This window comes from Homo sapiens, chromosome X, assembly GCF_000001405.40.
Source record: "Homo sapiens chromosome X, GRCh38.p14 Primary Assembly".
Lineage (NCBI taxonomy): Eukaryota > Metazoa > Chordata > Mammalia > Primates > Hominidae > Homo > Homo sapiens.
In genome coordinates, this window is record NC_000023.11 from 20,983,785 (window position 1) to 21,006,253 (window position 22,469).

Here is a 22,469-nt window from a genome sequence, read left to right on the forward strand (position 1 = left end):
AAAACAAAAAAGAGCAGGGGGTTCTATTCTTAATTCAGACAAAACAGACTTTAAAGCAACAACAATCAAAAAGGACAAAGAAGGGCATTACATTATGATAAAGAATTCAATTCAACAAGAACACTTAACTATTTTAAATATATATGCATCCAACATTGGGGCACCCAAATTCATTAAAAAAGTTCTTAGAGACCTATGAAGAGACTAAGATAACCACATAGTAATAATGGGATACTTCAGTGTATCACTGATGGTATTGCCCAGATCACTGAGGCAGAAAACTAACAAAGATACTTGGGACCTAAGCTCAACACTTGACAAAATGGCCCTAACAGGCATCTACAGGACACTCCATCTAACAACAACAGAATATACATTCTTCTCATCTGCACATGGAACATATTCTAAAAGCGATTCTCAACAAATTCCAAAAAAACCAAAATTATACCAACCACACTCTTGCACCACAATGCAGTTAAAATAGAAATCAATACTAAGAAGATCTCTCAAAATCATATAATTACAAGAAAATTAAACAATCTGCTCCCAAATGACTTTTGGGTAAATAATGAAATTAAGGGAGAAATCAAGAAATTCTTTGAAACTAATGAGAACAAAGATACAATATGCCAGAATCTCTGGGCCACAGCTAAAGGAGTGTTAAGAGGAAAGTTTATAACTGCTAAATGCTCACATCGAAATTTAGAAGGATCTCAAATTAATAACCTCACATCACATCTAGAGGAACTAGAAAAACAAGAGCACACCAACCCCAAAGATAGCAGATTAAAAGAAATAACCAAAACCAGAGCAGAATTGAACAAAATTGAGATGTGAAAAACCATATGAAAGATCAACAAAATAAAAAGTTGTTTCTTTAAAATAATAAATAACATTGATAGACTGTTATCTAGACTAATAAAGAAAAAAAGAAGATTCAAATAAATACAATCAGAAACGACAAAAGGGACATTACCACCAACCCCATAGGAAAAAAAAAAAAAACCCAGAGACCACTACAAACACCTCTACCTCTATGCACACAAACAAGAAAACCCAGAATAAATGGATAAATTCCTGGAAACATACAACCTCCCAAGACTGAATGACAAAGAAAGTGAAACCCTAAACAGACCAATAACAAGTTCTGAAGTTGAATCAGCAATAAAAAACTTACCAACCAGAAAAAGTCCTGGACCAGATGGATTCACAGCTGAATTCTACCAGATGCATAAATAAGAGTTGGTATGAATCCTACTGAAGCTATTCCAAAACATCAAGGAGGAGGGACTCCTTGCTAACTCATTTTATGAGGCCAGCATCATTCCAATAACAAAACCTGGCAGAGACACAATCAAAAAAGAAAGCTTCAGGGTAATATCCCTAATGAATGTAGATAAAAAAGTCCTTAACAAAAATATTAACAAACTGAATCCAGCAGCACATCAAAAAAGCTAGTCCACCATGATCAAGTAGACTTTATTCCTGGGATGCAAAGTTGGTTCAACATATGCAAATCAATAATGTGATTCATCAAATAAATAGAACTAAAAATAGAAGCCACATGATCATCTCAACAGATGCAGAAAAGGCTTTCAATAAGATTCAACATCCAAAACTATCAATAGACTAGACATCAGTGGAACACAGCTCAAATTAATATAAGCCATCTATGACAAACTCACAGCCATCATACTGAACAGGTATATAAAAGCTGGAAACATTCCCCTTGAGAACCGGAACAAGACAAGGATGCCTACTGTCACCACTGCTATTGAACATAGTTCTGCCTAGCCACAGCAAGCAGGCAAGAAAAATAAAAAAAAAAAAGTGTATCCAAATAGGAAGAGAGAAAGTCAAGCTATCTCTCTTCACAGACAATTTGATTCTATATGTAGAAAACCCCATTGTCTCTGCCCAAAAGCTCCTAGATCTGATAAACAACTTCAGCAAAGTTTCAGGACAGAAAAACCAATGTACAAAAATCAGTAGCATTTCTATACACCAATAACGTCCAAGCTGAGGGCCAAATCAAGAAAGCAATCCCATTCACAATAGCCACAAAAAGAATAAAATACCTAGGAATACAGCTAATCAGGGAAGTGAAAGATCTCAATAACGAGAATTACAAAACACTGCTGAAAGAAATTAGCGACAAAACACTGCTGAAAGAAATTGGAGACAACACAAATGAATGGAAAAAACATTTCATGCTCGTGGATAGGAAGAATCAATATTGTTAAAATGGCCATACTGCCCAAAGCAGTTTACAGATTTATTGTTAATCATATCAAACTATCAATGTCGTTTTTCACAGAATTAGAAAAAGCTATTGTAAATTTCATATGGAGTAAAAAATGAGCCCTAATGTCCAAAGCAATCCTAAGCAGAAACAACAAAGCTGGAGGCATTACACTACCCAACTTCAAACTATACTACAAGGCCTTGGTAACCAGAACAGCATGGTACTGGTACAAAAACAGACACATAGACCAATGGAACAGAATAGAGAACCCAGAAATAAAGCCGCACACCTACAACATTCCAATATTCAGCAAAGTCGACAATAACAAGTAATGGAGAAAATACTCCCTATTCAATAAATAGCACTAGGATAGCTGGCTAGCCATATGCAGAAGACTGAAACTGGACCCTTTTCATATATATAAAAATCAACTCATGATGAATTAAAACTTAAATGTACAACCTAAAACCATAAAAATCACAGAAGAAAATCTAGGAAATGCTATTTTTGACATAGGCCCCGGCAAAGATTTCATGATGAAGGCTCCAAAAGCAATTGCAACAAAAACAAAAATCCACAAGTGGGACTTAATTAAACTAAAGAGCTTCTGCACAGCAAAGCAACTATCAGCAGAATAAACAGACAACATACAGAATGGGAGAAAATACTTGCAAACTATGCATCTGAAAAAGGTCTAATATCCAGAATCTATAAGGAACTGAAACAAATCAACAAGCCCAAAACAAACAACCATTAAAAAATGGGCAAAGGACATGAACAGATGCTTTTCAAAAGAAGACATACACACAGCCAATAAGCATATGAAAAATGCTTAACATCACTAATCATTAGAGAAATGCAAATCAAAATCACAATGAGATACCATCTTACACCAGTCAGAATGGCTATTACTAAAAAGTCAAAAATTAACAAATGCTGGCAATGTTGCAGAGAAAAGGGAACCCTGATACACTGCTGGTTGCAATGCAAATTAGTTCAGCCACTGTGCAAAGTAGTCTGGAGAGTTCTTGAAGAACTTAGAATTACTGGCCGGGCGTAGGCGTGGTGGCTCACGCCTGTAATCCCAGCCCTTTGGGAAGCCGAGGTGGGCAGATCACTTGAGATCAGGAGTTCGAGACCAGCCTGGCCAACATGGCGAAACCCTGTCTCTACTGAAAATACAAAAATTAGCCAGGTGTGGTGGTGCATGCCTGTAATCCCAGCTACTCAGGAGGCTCAGGCAGGAGAATCGCTTGAGTCTGGGAGGCAGAGGTTGCAATGAGCTGAGATCATGCCACTGCACTCCAGCCTGGGTGACAGAATGAGACCTGTCTCAAAAAAATAAAATAAAATAAAATAAAATAGAACTACCATTTGACCCAGGAATCCCACTACTGGGTATATACCCAAAGGAGTATAAATCATCCTACCATAAAGACACATGCATGTGTATATTCATTGCAGCACTATTCACAATAGCAAAGACATGGCATCAACCTAGATGTCCATCAACAGAGGACTGGATAAAGAAAAGGTGGTACTTATATACCATAGATTACGATGCAGCCATAAAAATGAATGAGATTATGTCTTTTGCAGCAGTATGGATGAAGCTATGGGCCATTATCCTAAGCAAATTAATTGAAGAATAGAAAACCAAATACTGCATGTTTTCACTTATAAGTGGGAGCTAAACATTGATTACTCATGGACACAATGAAGGGAACAATATACACTTGGGCTTACCTGAGGGTGGAAGGTGTGTGGAGGGTGAGGAATGAAAAACTACCTGTAAAGTACTATGCTCACTACTTGGGTGATGAAATAATTTCTGTACCAATTATACACATTTTACCCATGGTAATACACATTTTACCCATGTAACACACCTATACATGTACCCCCTGAATCTAAAATAAAAGTTGGAAAAAATACATAAAATTTTTGTGTCTTTTTTCCTGTTAATCTGTCTTTTGTCAGTTTATTTTGCAGTGCCCTTTGTACTGAACATAAGAGGGTAAAGGGAATGATTTTTTCTTCCTATATAGACTTGTTAATAACCCCACACATCTGGGCTTGAGATGTGCAGTTTTCTCAAGTACTTCCTTGAGACGAGCAGTTTTAAAAAACTTCAGAGAAAGCCCAGAGGTGGGAAGGCTTGGAGCAGCTCAAAGTACCTGAAGTGGGATGCTGTTGGCAGTAGTCTGATCTGGATGAAATATGATGTGGGACACCAAAAATACCTACAGAGACCACAAAGAGGCCACTGATGCAATGCGGAAGTGACAAAGCATTGGGCTAGGATTAGTCATTGTTCCAAAACCACTTATTAAGCATCCACCATATAGTATAAGTGTGTTCTAAACATTGGGAATCCAAAGAAGAATGATGTAGTTCCTGCTTTCAATGAACTTTCAGTCTAGTACAGGAAAAATGTTGAAAAACGTTGAAAATACATATAGCAATTAGAATGTAGTATGCTAATTATGATCACAGAAGTATATTTAAAATATTATCAAAATAAGAGGAAGTACTGAGAAAAAGAGAGCAAAAAACAAGAGTAAAGAGATTTTAAAGATTAAGCAGTCAAATTAGGTAAATGACTAACTCTCCCCTGTCTTTAATATCTGGCATTGAAATGTGAATTCAAGATTTTGAATGATGGTGACTGATAAATATTTGACCCAAGAGAACTATAAAGTTGGGAAAATGAGTTTGTTTTATGGAGAATGATAATGAATTATTTCTATACCACATGAAGTTGAAAGTATAAATATGTCTGGGAGGTTCCCGAAGATACAGGGCTGATGATTGGTTTAAAGGCTAGAGCTAGAAATCACCTGAGAATTCTGTAGGCTTGGAGGAGAGCAGAAACCATGACAGGTCATGCTCAATAAGTGAAACACTGATGACAGAATCAAGTTGGTGCTGAGAATGGTGCCTCAGACAGCACCTGTGGTTAAAGATTAAGCGGAGAAACAGATGACAGAGGAACTCAGACAAAAGATTGAGTAGTGTATAAGAAGCTAAGGGAGGAGTTATAAGAGGGGACTGGTTGGCAAGGAAGTCAAGGAAGGTTAGCTAGTCATTCAGTAAACACCAAACAAATTTGATTGGCTTAAACCCAAATGAACAATAGCTTAGTTGTAATATATAGGTATTTACAGACAATTCAATTAGTAGCCTTTGACCTCCAAGCAAAATGAAGTTAAATTAAGGCAAGTATAGCAAAAACATGTGACTGCTATCACTAGCATAAGCCAGAGCTTACCAAAAGTTAAGCAGCTCTTGTGAGTCTTAGGGACATATATTTTTTCTGGGTCTGGGGTAGGTGTCTGTTCTTTGAATGGTTCCTGTAATCATGTGTGGTAGACACGCTCATGCACCATCCAGATACCTCTTTGGTGAAGAACTTCTTGCACAAGTTGCTGAGAGTACTATTGGTGCAGATAATTTTCAAATATCATTGCAAAGATTGCGTTAGTTGCCTGAGGTCATATCCTTCCCAAGCGGATGCATTCCAATGACTAATGGAGATGAGGGTAAAAAGGCCTGATTATCTTGGCCCATCTTGGATCTTTCCATGAAGTAGCCCATGTGTCATTGCTTACCTCACAGCTTCATTTCTTCTGCCTAGTTCTGCTTTCTTCTCCTCCCTCCCATAAGACTCTCCTTAAGAATCATCCTGTGACCTAAACTCCATCTCAGCATTTGCTTCCCAGGAAAATCACCCTGTGACATCATGGAACCTACATGCAATCAGTTAAGTGACATCATGCAATCAGTTAAGTGTCTTCAAGTAACAGATAACTCCATATCAACTGGGTTAAACAATAAAAAAAATTGTAATCGCATATTACCTGAAGTTTTGAGGTGGGATTGTTCCAGGGTTTGTTAACCCAGTGACTGGTTGAAACCATTAAGTCCCCAAGTCTTTGTTGTGCTGTCCTCAGCATGGTGGATTTGTGATTCAGCTTAGCACTCCTCATGGTCACAAGATAGCATCACAGATAGGTGTAAAAATCTCCTGAAAAAGAAAAGGACTGATATTTTCCATGTGAACCTTTGTGAAGAGCAAGACATCCTTTCTTAGAAGCTGTTTTGCTAACTTCCCCTTAGTCACTGGATGTAACTGGGGCTTACATTTTCCTCCAAACCAATCACTGGAAAGGGAATGAGATGACAGAGATTTGCAGAGACCAATCAAAATTTGCTCCTGATCTTTTGAGGAATGGATGGATGTACCCCTGAAAAAAATCAGGCTAACTCCATTGCCACAATGCTACCATGTGTTTATTTAGAATTTTCCTTCTAAGTAACTCATTTTACATAACTTAAAATCTGGGTTAGGTAGCTGGAGGGAACTGTTATTTTTATATAAAGCACCTGGATGGGCCTTCTGTGAATCTTCCTGCAAGGACAATGAAATAATTTTTTTTTGGCAGAGGATGAGATGTGTGTTGTTCTTTCCTAACCATCAGTGAGCTGACTATGTATTGGGTATACATGCATTTTCACCAGAGCTTGAGTTCAGAGGAAAGTGGCAGCACCTGATATCATGCATCAATTTTAGTGAATTTGGAAGGAAGAGTTAAGAAGCACATTTTCAAATAAGCCAGTCACAAAAGGACAAATACTATATGATTTAACTTATATGAGGCATCTAGATGTATTAGTCCATTTTCATGCTGCTATAAGGAACTACCCGAAGCAGGGTAATTTATAAAAAAAGAAGTTTGACTCACAGTTCTGCAGGACTTGGTGGCCTCAGGAAACTTACAATCATGGTGGAAGAGGAAGCAAACATGTCCTTCTTCACGTGGTGGCAGGAAGGAGAAGTGCTGAGCAAAGGGGGAAAAGCATCTTATAAAACCATCAGATATTGTGAGAACTCACTCATTATCATGGGAACAGCATGGGGGTAACTGCCCCCATGATTCAATTTTCTCCCACTCAGTCCCTCCCACAACCCATGAGGATTATGGGAACTACAATTCAAGATGAGAGTTGGGTGGGGACACAGCCAAATCATATCATTCCACCCCTGGCCCCTCCCAAATCTCATGTGCTCATATTTCAAAAGACAATTATGCCCTTCCAACAGTCCTCCAAAGTCTTAACTCCTTCCAGTATTAACCCAAAAGTCCAAGTCTAAAGTCTCATCTGAGACAAGGTAATTCCCTTCCACCTATGAGCCTGTAAAATCAAAAGCAAGTTAGTTACTTCCTAGATACAATGGGGGTACAGCCATTGCATAAATACGCCCATTCCAAATGGGAGAAATTGGTCAGAACAAAGGGGCTACAGGCCCCATGCAAGTCTGAAATCCAATAGGGCAGTGATTAAAACTTAAAGTTCCAAAATGATCTCCTTTGACTCTGTGCCTCACATGCAGGTCACGCTGATGCAAGAGGTGGGCTCCCACAGTCTTGGGCAGCCCTGTCCCTGTGGCTTTGCAGGGTACATCCCCCCTCCTAGCTGCTTTCATGGCTGGTGTTGAGTGTCTGTGGCTTTTCCAGGTGCACAGTGCAAGCTGTCAGTGGATTTACCATTCTGGGGTCTGGAGGATGATGGCCCTCTTCTCACAGCTCCACTAGGCATTGCCCCTGTGGGGACTCTGTGTGGGGGTTCCAATCCCACATTTCCCTTCTGCACTGCCCTAGCAGAGGTTCTCCATGAGGGCTCTGCCCCTGCAACAGACTTCTGCCTGGACATCGAGGTGTTTCCGTACATCCTCTGAAATCTAGGCAGAGGTTCCTAACCGCAACTTTTGACTTCTGTGCACCCACAGACTCAACACCACATGTAAGCCACCAAGGCTTGGGGCTTTCACACTCTGAAACAATGGCCCGAGTTGTATGTTGGCCCCTTTTAGCCATGGCTGGGATGCAGGGCACCAAGTCCTGAGACTGCACAAAGTAACAAGGTCCTGGGCCTGGCCCATGAAACCATTTTTCCCTCTTAGGCTTCCAGGTCTGTGATGGGAGAGGTTGCCCACAAAGGTCCCTAACATGCTCTGGAGACATTTTCCCCATCGTCTTGGTGACTAACATTTGGCTTCTTGTTACTTATGCAAATTTCTGTGGCAGGCTTGAATTTCCCTCCAGAAAATGGGTTTTTCTTTTCTATCACATCATTAAGCTGCAAATTTTCCAAACTTTTATGCTCTGCTTTCTCTTGAATGCTTTGCTGCTTAGAAATTTCTTCCGCCAGATATCCTAAATCATCTCTCTCAAGTTCAAAGTTCTACATATCCCTAGGGAAAGGGCAAAATGCCACCAGTCTCTTTGTTAAAGCATAACAAGAGTGACCTTTGCTCCAGTTCCCAAGAACTTCTTCATCTCCATCTGAGATCACCTCAGCCTGGACTTCTCTGTCCATATCACTATCAGCATTTTGGTCAAAGCCATTCAACAAGTCTCTACGAAGATCCAAAATTTTCCACATTTTCCTGTCTTCTTCTGAACCCTCCAAATTATTCCAACCTCTGCCTGTTACCCAGTTCCAGAGTTGCTTCCACATTTTCAGGTAACTTTACAGCAGCATCCCATGCTGCATGGTACAAATTTACTGTATTAGTCCATTTTCATGCTGCTATAAAGAACTTCCCAAGACTGGGTAATTTATAAAGGAATGAGGCTTAATTGACTCACAGTTCCACAGGGCTGGGGAGGCCTCAGGAAACTTACAGTCATGGTGGAAGGGGAAGCAAACACATCTTTCTTCACATGGTGGCAGAAAGAGAAGTGACAAGCAAAGGGGGAAAAGCACCTTATAAATCTATCAGATGTTGTGAGAATTCACCCACTATCACGAGAACTGCATGGGGATAACCAGCCCCAAGATTCAATTATCTCCCACTGGGTCCCCTCCATGACACATGGGGATTATTAGAACTACAATTCAAGGTGAGATTTTGGTGGGGGCACAGCCAAACCATATCACTAGAATAGTCAAATTCATAAAGAAGAAAGTAGTATGGTGGTTTGCAGAAGCTGGGGAAGGAGGGGGAATTAGGAAATTATTGTTTAATAGGTACAGAATTTCAGTTTTGAAAGATTAAAGAAGTTCTGAAGCTGAATGGTGGTGATATTTGCAGTGATTATTCTTAATGCCACTGAACTGTATGCTTAAAAATGGTTAAAATGCTAACTTTTATGTAATGTACATTTTACCACAATTAAAAGATATAAGTATATTTTCAGAGAACACCTGCAGGAAGAAGACTCAACAAATGAGGTTTAAAAAATTTGTTTATTAGAAAATGTTAATCACCCACTGGAACTGCTTCAGCTTATAAAAATCTACTGCAAGTGTATTTCATTGTGTTCTATTTGTAAAATAGCTTTGATTATTTTAAATGATTGTGTCTCTTAGCTCATCATGTAGCAAAATTAATTCTAAACAGTGGTTTGAGTTTAAATGGTTAATTATTCCATAATAAACTTATATTATTTTAATAATAAAGACTCCAATCATCCTACTTCAGAAGGTGAGTGGCTGCTTTTCTCATTTATGTCCACACTGATGTCATTTTTTTAATTTAAAGAATAATTAACTGTGTTGGGGGAAAATGATTAAAATTGGATGAATATGTTAATGTATTTTAATAGCTTGACTGGGAGTTTCATAAATCTCATTTCTAGCCAAAGTATGTCACTATAAATGAGTTTCAACTTACTCCTGCTCAGAAGAGAATACTCTGCTAAAATATTTTTAGCTACTTAAAGCCCAAACTGGATGTCCATCTCTTGATGTAGAGCAAATGTTTACACTATGAAGAAGCCATATTAGGTAACTTCTAAGGGCTTTTTAAACTCCATGGCTCTGTAATATGCTCAATCTTTGCCAATGACTCTCATTAGCACTGAACAGAAAGAGATATGCATCTTAAGAAAATTTTAATATCATTGTGGTTCACACTAATGAAAGTTTTTCTCATATACTCTATAAAGTCAGAGGCCCCTATTGTAGGCCAAATAACCCCACTAAAGTGAACTGTCCTATTTATTTCCATTATCCCAATTAAACTCATAAAATCAAATAGTATGACAGATGCTGCTCAGTCAGTATTTTGGAAATGTAAGAATCAAATAAATGAGTGATTGGGAACTGTCTTAGGCAATTTCTATAGCAATAAAGAGAAATATATTCAGACTACTGAAACATGATCAGTATAGCAGGTTCTGTCAGTGCCTATCCACATCTTTTTGGTATTCAGTGTTTCTGTTTAATGGTGTCTTACTTAAAGCGCATGGAACTTTCTGCTTGAGAATTTCATCTGGCCTCAGGAGAATGCCCAGCCCATATAAGGGTCAGGCTGGAAGTGCCAAGGAGTTAACTTTCCTGGAAACAGTCCTCCACCGATGATAGTTGGATATGGTGGGTAAATATCTCAGCTTTCTATCTCCTTGGGTGGATGACCCTAAGTCAACGTTTACCCTGTCTCCAAAAGAATCCCCAGTATGATTTAGCGCTAGAGCAATGATATGCTCAACAACACACTTGTATTGGCTTCCCTCCTTTCTTTGTCTCAGTGCTCCACTCCTCTACCAGTGCTTTCTGGGATCATCTCCCAAGTAAACTAATAGTACTCAATCCCTTGTCTTAAGGTCTGCTTCTGGGGGAAACAGAACAAGGGTAACCTGTAAGGGAGAAATAGTCTCATAGGAATCCAATAACTGGCACAATGGAATGAAACTCAGTCTCATGGCAAATGAGTCTGGCAATGGGATTTCATGAGTATTTGCTATAAGGTTCCACTGTTACATAAAACATGTTGATTTTTTCTTCTCCTCTCTCCTCCATCCTAATTCCTCACCCTATGTTCCGCAGATCTTTTCTCAAGTTTGGAGCCCCTACTTATTAATAAATTTGAATTGCTAATAATATTGACTAACTCATGGCTTAACATGACCCTCCCACTCCTCTCTACTTCATGAATTTTCAGTTTTAGCCTTCACTGTTAATCATAGAAGTCTAATTTCATTTTCCAGTTCAAATGGTGGAGAGTAAAAATCTAATATACCCAAACTTTGAGCAGAGTTAATTACAATAGATTAGTAATGCATAGTTAGACATCATCTAATCCAGGGCACATATGAGAGTGAAAGAGGCACTATTAATAAACTAGGACTATTTGTATAAACCAGGACTATTTGGAGTGTGAAAGAAAAATATCTTGGGCCCCCAAAATCACTAAGGGAAACTCAAGCTGCAAACTGCTTAGGGAAAACCTGCCTCCCATTCTATTCAAAGTCACCCCTCTGCTCACTGAGATAGATGAATATCTGACTTGCCTCCTTTGGAAAGGCTAATCAGAAACTCAAGAGAATGTATCACCTATCTGTGACCTGGAAGCCTTCTCCCTGCTTCCAGTCTTCCTGCCTTTGCTTCAAGTTGTCCCGCCTTTCTAGACAGAACCAATGTACTTCTTACATATATTGATTGATGTCTCATGTCTCTCTAAAATGTATAAAACTAAGCTGTGCCCCAACCACTTTGGGCACATGTCGTCAGGACTTCCTGAAGCTGTGTCATGGGCACATCCTCAACCTTGGCAAAATAAACTTTCTAAATTAACTGAGACCTGTCCCAAATTTTCGGGGTTCACATTTTGATAACCATGGAGAGATTCTGAATGGAGATGCCCCTGACTTTTGGCAAATCTCCTATTAGTGCTTGGTACCAGCATGAGCTAACTTTATGGCTCAAACCAATAGGACAATTTGCTGAGGTCTGGGAGTACCCCCTCCAGAGAATCCCTCATCTCCCAAAATGTGGTTGAGATCTAAAGTTTATTTCGCTGTACAACTCCTCTTTTTTGGATTTTTACTTGCTTCCAACTGAAGGAAGGCAAGTTTTTTCCTGCTTCCATGACAATGGAAGGCAGGTAAGGTGAGTTTTGTTTCTGCTGTTCTTTTTTTTTTTTTTTTTTTCTTGTTTCTAGGATGCTAGAGAGCAGTCTACAGCCTGAGACCCATCACTAGGTAAGAAACTGGTTTGGGGTTTTGTCTTGCAAATTTCTTTTAAATGACTAAAGTTAGCATTTAACAACCAGCTGGTGCGAATTTCTCCTTATACTTAGAGCACTCAGAAATCCTATAACTTGTGTGATCATTGTTAGTTTAGCAGCATTTTGTCCTAGCTGAAACACAGTAATCAGAGTTTTTTTTTTTTTTTTTTAAGGAGCTCAGTGTTAGCTGAGTTAGGCCAAAGTTAGCTTAATTAAAAGGCTAACATCCAAGATGTGTGTGTGTATGTGTGCATGTGTGCATGATTGTATTTGAAAGGCCTTCATGTTTTAGGGTTTTTTTCTTTTTTTTCTCCTAAGACCTTGTCTTTGTTTTTGAGCAGAAGTTTTTGTTTGTTTGTTTGTTTTTGTTTTTGTTTTCTTCTCAGTTGACTGAATTCTGTTTTCATCTGTTTTTTGTTTTTTTTTTTTTGACTAAAATAGTTATTGCAACAGAGGCTACTCTTGGGTTTTTGAGAAAGAGCGTAGTTTAATTTTGTGTTCAATTTGGCTCAAAGAAAAATAAAAGTGTCACCCTTTAGCACCACCAGACTTTTACTCTCTGTACCTTATGATGTAAATTTTGCTATTTGATTTTCACCTGAGTTGTTTCCTTTAATGTGCAAATTCAAGGCTGTTTAGCTGATAACTGCCTAGGATTGTGAAGCAGGTTATCAAGAATTTGAAAGCCTAGATAGAAAAAAAAAGGGGGGGGGGGCTCTTTATAAGTCTATAAAATGCACCTCCATTGGCATGCCTAATACACCTTTATATGTGTTTATGTGTTGTGTACAAAATGTTTCACTACTAAAAATACATAACAGAGCTCTAATTAATTAGCTTAAGGAAAAATATAAGCACTTAAATCAGATACCAGAAAAGAAAAGACTAGTCAAATGCTTTTTCAAATTTATGTCACTTAAGGAAAATCTTTAATAAATAAGCTAGTTTTAAAATTATTGGTAAAGTAATATTAGAAATGTCTTAAGAATTGCCAGCATACATTTTTTGTTTTGCATTTATTAATAAGGCAATTTCATACTTATCCCTACCAAACACTACAGGGGGTCAAAACTTTGTATAGGGGTTACAAAACTATAAAACCAGTCCAAAACAGAATGATTTTTGCCTGTGTAATTTTTAATAAATAAGACATTGATATGGGTTTAATGAAAATAGCTGCATCTTGAATTTAGTAAGATTGCCGTAACTTCTAATCCTGTGGCTTTAGGCAGTCTAGTCCACAGGAAAAGGAGGTTTGTTTTTGGGAAAGGACTGTTAACATCTTTGTTTCAAAGCTAAGCTATAAACTAAGTTCCTCCCAGAGTTAGTTTGGCCTATGCCCAGGAATGAACAAAGACAGCTTGGAGGTTAAGAGCAAGATGGAGTCCATTAAGTCAAATCTTATTTCACGGTCTCAGTTATAATTTTGCAATGGTGGCTTCATAACTTTAAATTCATGACTATCACAGTTTTCATAAATAATCTAGGTAAACAATTAAAAAAATAATTAGGTTAATGTAATGGGATAAATACTTGTAGAAAAGCTGGTCATAATTTAGAATATGAAGTTAAATTAAATAATAGATATTTCATTATTTGAGTATTTTCCAATAAATATATATTGTAAAAAAAATTCTTGCAAAATAAAAAGCATGTCCTTTTAAAAAAAAGGTGAAAAGTTTTTGTCTAATTCAAAGCTTATTTAAAGGTTCTGTATAAAACAAGGTAAAAGGAACCAGAAAATAAAAAGAGATGTAAAGAAAGTTACAAAGAGGCGTGTGTGTGTGTGTGTGTATGTGTGTGTGTGTGTGGCAAGAAAGCTTAAAGAGAAATAATTTTGTATGAGAAAGAATCTTAATATGATAAATTTTAGCCCTAAAATAAAATGACTGGTTATTTAAGAAGGAGGGATGTTCAGGACAAATCAGAAAGTCCAAATATTATTATTAAGTTTTGGTTTGCTTAGGAAAAGAAAACTGAGATAAAATTTTTTTTTTAATTAAGGTTGTTACATCCATGTATGTTCCTGTATATGCTTTTAAAGTCCTTGTGACATTGGGTTACAAGCCTTTGACTCCTGGATCTAAAAAGGATACCAAGTCCTACTAAATCTTAAACACTGACAGCAAGTACAGCCTCATCTTTAGGGCCCATAGAAGATGCCAATAAAAATAAACTGAATTTCTGAGACACAGGGCAAAAGATTAAAGCTGTTTCAACTTCTCAAGGCCCAGGGACTGTTGAGGAAGAGGTGGGCATGTAAGATTGTAAGGGCCAATTTTGAAAGATAAAATACGTTCAGTTTCTCTATAAATCAATCATTAATGCCAAAGGCACACTGATGCAAGACCAGCATATGGGCACCTGTGTCACATTAAGAAGGTTTTGTTGAAGTACTAACCAACTCCTTAATAAAGGTTAGAAAAGGCTTATGGAAGCTGTATTTTACCATCAAGATTAAAATTTTATAGATTGTTTCTAAAATTTTGAAAAACAAATTTAATTGGCTTCATGCTGTTCTTATTAGGGCTTATTGTTTGGAAAATTAAGTCTCCTCTGTCAAAGAATAACATTTGTCACTTCTTTTTGAGATCCTTGAATTATCACTTTGGTTAAATAAATGACTTTACAATTACTTGTAATCCTATTTTGTAATATCAAGTGTTTTAAACCTTTTATATTTGACAAACTTTTCAAATTCAAATTATAAACTATGTATTTTGTTAACCTAACTAATCCTTTAAGATATTAGTTCCCCTAAAGCACAAAAATGACATAATTTGGCTTATTTGGTATAAAAATTATATAGGAAGCATTGCCAAATATGAAATGATGTTTGGTTTTCTTCAGGCTGTATTTATAAATATGTTATTTGTATTTGTTCCAAAATTATGAGAAACTCCTGTAATTCTGATGCAATTTAGTGTACATTATTTGTAATAATCATAATTGTCATGTTCAAATTATTGTGTGCCACAGAGGTAGCACATTTCCTGGTCAATCGTGTGTTTTAACCATGGCTGCCTTTAAACTTTGTTTTCATCCATGGACAATTATGTCTTCTTTTGGTCCTCTTTAGAAGGCGGTTTTATAATCAGCTATAAAACTCCAGCAGTTGCTCTTGAATGCAGGTTTCTGATAACTTTGGAGATAACTTTGGAGACTGTGACATCAGAATAGAGGAAAAATTTTCAGGACTCATGGAGAGCTAAAATGCTCATGAGTATCAAGGTGAACAGGAGTTAACTTCATGGACTGAAACAATCTTTTTGACTTTTTACTTAATATGTTTGCTGATCCTTAGTTTTGTTTTTCAGAGTCTTAAAACTTTTCTTTTGAGCTATTGACAGCTTTTAACAATTTAGCATATTCCTATGAACAAAATTTGGAGCATTTTTTTTTCTACCTGATTTCTCCAGAATTGGAAACTATTCATGAGTATTCTTAACTTATGGCACTACAGTTATTTGCATAAGTGCCATAAGAATCTGTCTTCATTTGTAACAGGACACAATTGGAGAAATTGGTTATTTTACCAAAGCTTTGACTGGAATGGTGTGCTTTCCTTTAAGGAATCAAATTTGACTTATGGAGCCAATAAATCCCTTGGAAAAACTGGCCTCATATTCTGTGTAGACAGTCCCTGTACAGGGTTTCTGACCTGTAGTAAGTAAAAAATGTCACTTTCTGACAGGTGCAGAAGCCCTAGGTTTATCCTTGAACCTCAAGAGGTGAGAAAATTCACCCAACTCACAGATATTGGATGGCACTAATCCATGGCTGGGCTCAGCTTTAAAAAAGTTTTATCTGGGATTCCTTCTATGGAACAAAGTTTCATCAAAGCCAATTTAAAGCCTATGTAAAAAATAATTATTCTTGCTGCACTGTATACAAACAATTAGGCCAAGTATAATAAAGCAAACCCATGCTACCATGATTTGTCTTTAACTAAAATAGAAAAATGGAGAAAGAAAAATTGTTTCAAAAATGTTGTACACCTGTTGTTAGATTCCAGTCTTGCCTAATGATTTTAAATTTTCATTATTTCTACAGTTTGGGCTGAATTCTAATTTTTTGTTGGCAAGTCTTCAAAACGATGTTTTCAATTTTTGTCTTTTTTCCCTTCTTTTTTTCCCCAGCTTTCCTAATTTGGAGTCACTGAAAACTAAGCAGTGCTTCCTTAAAATCCTGTGAACAGAATCCAGACAATTTAAACTTCAGAAGAAAATAACAGCAACCTGTTTACATACATCAGCCACTTTTGTACCTGCCTAATATTGTATGGATTTCAGAGTAATGTTTCCTAGATCAATTTTTCCAGGATTGTTCCTCTGTTTGTTGTTGTTTTTCTTCCTTCCTCTTCCCTATTTTCTCTTCACAGGACACGAGACTTTACGACCTGCTAAAAATGAGCTTTTGGGACCTACCCATCTAGAAATAAACCCATCTAGAAATAGCCAGGAAAGATCAGACAAAACCTGAGAGCAGACTCATTTTCTAGTAAAATGCTTTCTCCAAAAGATTTTTAAAAAGAAAAGGGGGAAATGTTAAAGGAAAATATCTTGGGCCCCCGAAATCACCAAGGAAAACTCAAGCTGCAAACTGTGTAGGGGAAATCTGCCTCCCATTCTATTCAAACTCACCCCCTCTGCTCACTGAGATAGGTGCATACCTGATTTGCCTCCTTTGGAAAGGCTAATCAGAAATTCAAAACCTGGAAGTTCCCTCCCTGCTTAGAGTCTTCCTGCCTTTGCCTCAAGTTGTCCCACCTTCCCAGACCGAACCAACATACTTCTTACATATATTGATTGATGTCTCATGTCTCCCTAAAATGTATAAAACTAAGCTGTGCCCCAACCACCTTGGGCACATGTCATCAGGACTTCCTGAGGCTGTGTCATGAGCGTGCCCTCAATTTTGGCAAAATAAACTTTCTAAATTAACTGGGACCTGTCTCAAATTTTCGGGGGTTCACAGGAGCAAATTTGAATTTATGGCCACCTTGGCTTTTGGCGATAATCAATGGCTTCCCCTAAGATCAATTGCTCATTGATTTTCAATTTTACCATGACCTTCCTGCGTGTGCATGGGCCCGGGGGTGGTAGTGGCTGGCACTTGATTTTCCATTAAAGAGGCCCATGATTTTCTTTAAAAAAAGGAAAATATGGTTCTTGTTCAGTTATAAAATATTCATACTATAGGACAATAAGTTGCCTTATGGATCACCAGTGATCCTCAGACCAATCTCAGAAAACAACCAAAAAAATTCACTCTTTGGTGCATTGTCACAACACGTTTTAAGGCTGAAGCTAACTCAGTAATGGATTCAACTATGATCTATTTTGTATTGATGCAAAGTCATTTGGTAAAACATCATCCTCCAACAAAATGGTTCAAATAAGTATTGATGAAGTTGCAGCATGGAAAGCCTATTGTATTCAGGCAGTGTTAGGATTGTCTAAAATAAACAATCTTGGGATCCATAGATGTCTCAGATTTGCATTATTGTTTGAGGTGTAATTGAAATTAAAACATTCATAAGTGTATTTATGTCTGTCTCAGATTCAGAGAATGAGTGGCAAGGAAAGTCCTTGATATTACCAAATGAGTGAATAGCTTCTTGTAGTGTCTCTTATCTCTGAAAATTAAAGAGAAGTTTGTTCAATTATCATTCTGCATCATTGTATTAAAAAATACCTTTCTAGATTCATCTTATAAATATAGTTTTGAAAGTTATTTCAGTAAGATTGCAGAGAAGGCTTAATTTTTTCTATAGACTTTCAGATAGACAAGGTAACTAAGCTCTTTTTCTACAATGAAAACAAAACATATAAGCTTTCAGTAACTCTGGGTATGTTGAGCAGTGACTGGATAAAGTAGCAGTCAGGAGTTCTAAGTTCTAATTTCACCTCAGCTACTATTGTCTCTAAATCTGTTTGTACATCTAAGAAGCAAGCGGATTTAGTTTGTCTAGACTTCCAAATTTGGCTCTGCTGAATCTAGGGAGTTCCATGTTTTCCTCAAAAGTCACATTTAGGCAGGAGAGAAAGGAGAAAAGATTTCCTTTCATGTCTTGAGCAGTCAAAAATTTCAGGTTTCCAACACATTTCAACCAAATGATGGGTCTGATGTCCTTCATGCCCATGACTTTAGTAACCCTCTATATGCAGATAACTTCTAAATGTGTATCTCCATATCACATGCCTCTTGTGAGCATCCAATTGTCTGCATCCAATTGCCTACTCAATATCTCCAACTGAATGTTCCAAAACCCTATCACACTCAACATGCCCAAGACCAAATTCTTGATCTTCCACAACCAAATGGCATCTTGCTATGTTCTTTATCACAGTAAGTAGCATCAGTATCCTTTCAGTTGTGCAATCCTTAAAACTAGGCATTATCCTAGACACCTTCTACTTCCTTACCTCTATTTGTCCTCACTCTCACATCCTGTGAATTTGACTCTCTAATATTCCTTGAGTGATTTCACATCTCTCCATTAATCCTGTGACAAAACTAGTCCAAGCTGATATCATCTCTTGCCTGGATTATAAGAGTTTTCAAACTGGTCTGTCTGCTTCTTCTCTGAATCTCTGCCCCCTTTCAATCAATTCTCCATATTTAAAGCAGATTTACCTTTTAAAGCCAATTCTGACCTTGTTACTTTCTTTATTAAAGTATTCCAGTGGATCGCGATCATCTTTGGGAAAAGACCAAACTCCTTTACGTAGCTTACAAAGCTATATATATATATATAGTTTTTTTTTCCTGTCTCCTTCTCTAGATTCGTTTCATCTCACGTTGTCTTTGTTGTGCTGTAGCCACCTGCATCTTCCTTTCGGCTCTTGTATAGGCCATGGTCTCTTCTGCCACAGGATCTTTGCATGTGTTATCTTCATTTAAAATGCTCTTACTGCTCCATTCCATTCTCCAAATATCCCACCTGGTTAATTCCTACTCTTCCTTTAGACAATTGTTCAGGAGTTAATACTTCAGGAAAACTTTGCAAAATTCTCATTCTGGGTCACGTCTTTTGTTCTTTGATACTTTTATAACCACATTCCTTTTCTTCATCACATTTAATCCACTCATTTATGTGACTATTTTATAATATATGAATTCTCCAGTAGCTCTAAGCTCTGTGAGAATGAAGCTATGGCAGATTGCATTTTCCAAAGATGGTTGCAATAACATCTCCTATTTAAACATAATTTTCTGTGATGTTATCTTGTGACTTCCCCCATCAAAAGGTGGAGTTTGATTCCTCTCCTTTGAATTGGGACTGACTTACCAATGCTTTGGCTAATGGAATGTGTCACAGGTGACATTATGTGACTACTATGGCTAAGTCATAAAAGTCAGTGCAACTTCTTTTTTTTTTTAACCAGAACACTTGCATTTTGAGCCCTAAATCACCGTGTAAGAAGTTCGAGTACTCTGAGGCTCCTGTACTATGAAGAAACCAAGCCACATGGAGGTGCTCCAGTTGGCAGTCTTAGTCTTCATAGCATCCCAGCAAGGTGCCAGACATGTGGGTTAAAAAGCCTTTGATAATTTCAATCACCAGCCATCAATTAACTAATATCTCTTCAAGTTTATTATAATTATTGTTGTATCTCTACTTACTAATCAATTTCTTTCTCTGTGTATCCATTTTTTAAAATCATCATCAAGGATTTAGTGGTTTTTAAATGATGGTGGCAAGATCACTATCCTCATGTGTTAACTTAGACTGTTAAGAATTTGACTTCAAGAGTTGACTATATCAACAAAATTAACTTGTAGAAACTGGGAAATCATTACTGTCAATCTACTCAAGGCAAAGTCGTGAAGATGCAGTAGAGAGCATCAGAGAAAAAGTAGAAAAGTATTTTGCCATATGGACAGATAAACTTTTAAGCTACTAGAAGGTGACACATTTGAGAAATTACTAGTAACCCTCCTTATTTATTTTTATATTTTTTAAAAAGTAAAATCTGTCAGTTATGTCTTTTCTGATTAAATGGTAATATTGTGTGAGAAGGAAGTGAAGCCAAAGGAAACTCAGAGGCCAAAAAGTGACAAACCAAGAGTGCTTCATCCAAAATAAGTCCAGTTTACAGAAAGAAAAGAGAAAACAATGAGCTATATCAGCCCTCTGAGAAGTTCTTTGGAGGAAACAAGCCTAACACTAAACAAAGATCTTGGTGAAAATAATCAGCTGACTAGGTAGCACCAACCTGCAAGAAAGATACAAAAAATGTCTTCGTGTTTCTGGGTGTCATGCAATATAATTTTGGAGCTACAAATGCAGAATCTATTTATGAATGGCCATTATCTAAAAAATTAAGGGCAGTTATAGAAACTAATGTCCCGTTTCTGCTTTTTACTGCAGGTCTTTTTTTTTTTTTTCCATATTGTACCTCCCTTCCTTAGCTGAGACATGAGAGTAATCTTGTAATTCAGCAGCCACACTCAGCATTTATGACATAATTGTGTTTGTATGCGAGTTTCATACACACACACACACACACACAAACACACCCCACACATATTTCCACCATCTTCATTTTGGCAAAATAATCTCAAATACATAAATTCACAAATGCACAGATACCACTAGGAAAACTCACAGTAGGATTTGCAAAATATATAAAGGATATAAGCATCAGTTTTATTTTCAAAGTTTGGTGTGTGTGTGTGTGTGTGTGTGTGTGTGTGTGTGTGTGTGTGTAGGCTGCAATGCCAGTTATTGCCTCTCAATCTGAAATGCTGTGAGACATCTCCTTTAGGAACTATACTCATGTTGTCCTGAAAGATAAAATAGTTACAAAATGTTCCCCAAATAATAAGACACATTGATCCAGTGGCTGTAATTGTTTGAAATGTAAGAGTTAAATATTTAGACATCCCCAAAGTAGGCTTCCTTGAGTATCTGTGAAAATAACATCCTTTATATCAGGAATGGGGCGTTTCTACTCATCATCGGGCCTCAGAAACCATCAATTCTGAGTCATGATAAATGACTTCACTTTTACTGCAAAATGACTCATAAACAACTTAGAGCTCAAGAGATTGTTTTGCAAGCTATTTTAAATTTATCTGGCTATCTTCCTCATTTAAAGATCAATATCCATATGGATCTTTACATAAATTCTCTTTTAGAACAGGTAATATCAACAAGCAGCCCATGAAATTGGAATGCTTGTAAGGTATTTTGAAATTACTCAGCAGATTTTCTTGTTACTGTGGCCTTGATTTTTTAAATTGTAACTGCCTCTAGATTTGTTATTTCTCTCTTTGACAATCAGACATTCACAGGTATGCTGGGCTAGAGGAATCAATCATAGAAAAAGTCCCAAGGACCATTTTTAGATTACTCCCTAATTTAGTTTAATGGAGGCTGAGAGTATAGTACAGAATTTTATTTTATGTGCTGTAATATTAAATATTTATGTGTGTGCAGGACTTTCCCATGCCTGGTATGAGAACAGTAGTCGGAGTTCCCTATTAATCTACTGTCTTCAACGTTAGGAAGGGAAAAATAAATCTCTGGTTTGCCAAAAGGTGAAGAAACATTTAAAGTCTAAACTCTCATTATCAGATTTACAAATATGAAAAAGACTAAAAAAGTGTTGCAGAGGGTGAGGGGAAATGGACAATTTTCCTTCTAGAGGCCAGTTTAATACAGTAAACCAATTTAAAAAATTTTGTCTTGGGAACTAATCACATAGATATAGTAGGCGCAAGAATATTTATCAAAATATTAAACAATGGAAGAGGAATAGAAACAAACTCAATATTCATCAATAGGGCACCAGTTAAGTAAAATATGATGTTTTATGTCTTAGTTTGGATTTTCCATATCTGTGCTGTCTAAAACGGTAGCCATTTTACTGACCATAACTACATAACTACTGAACACTTGAAATATGGCTACACACCTAATTTCACCCCATATCACCATGCACAACTAATTTCAGAGATGTACTGTGAAAAGAATAGAGACTATTTTATTAATAATTTTTTTATTTTAATTCCATGTTGAAATAATAATTTTTATATATTAAGTTAAATAAAATATATTGTTAAAATTAATTTCATCTGTTTCTTTTTACTTTTTGATGTGATTACCAGAAAATTTTAAATTGCATATATGGCTTGTGTTTGTGGCTTGCATTATATTTCTAGAAATAGCACCACTCCAGAAGTAAACCTTGAGACAAG

The 22,469-nt window shown here is 36.9% G+C and overlaps 1 annotated feature.

Annotated features, from left to right (window-relative positions):
* Positions 5,812 to 7,011: an enhancer, noted in NCBI's record as "CDK7 strongly-dependent group 2 enhancer chrX:21007714-21008913 (GRCh37/hg19 assembly coordinates)". NCBI's record gives its function as "activates an origin of replication core promoter dependent on BRD2, BRD4, P300/CBP, MED14 and CDK7 cofactors, with strong dependence on CDK7, by STARR-seq in HCT116 cells {active_cell/tissue: HCT116}" and the evidence as "EXISTENCE:reporter gene assay evidence [ECO:0000049][PMID:35650434]".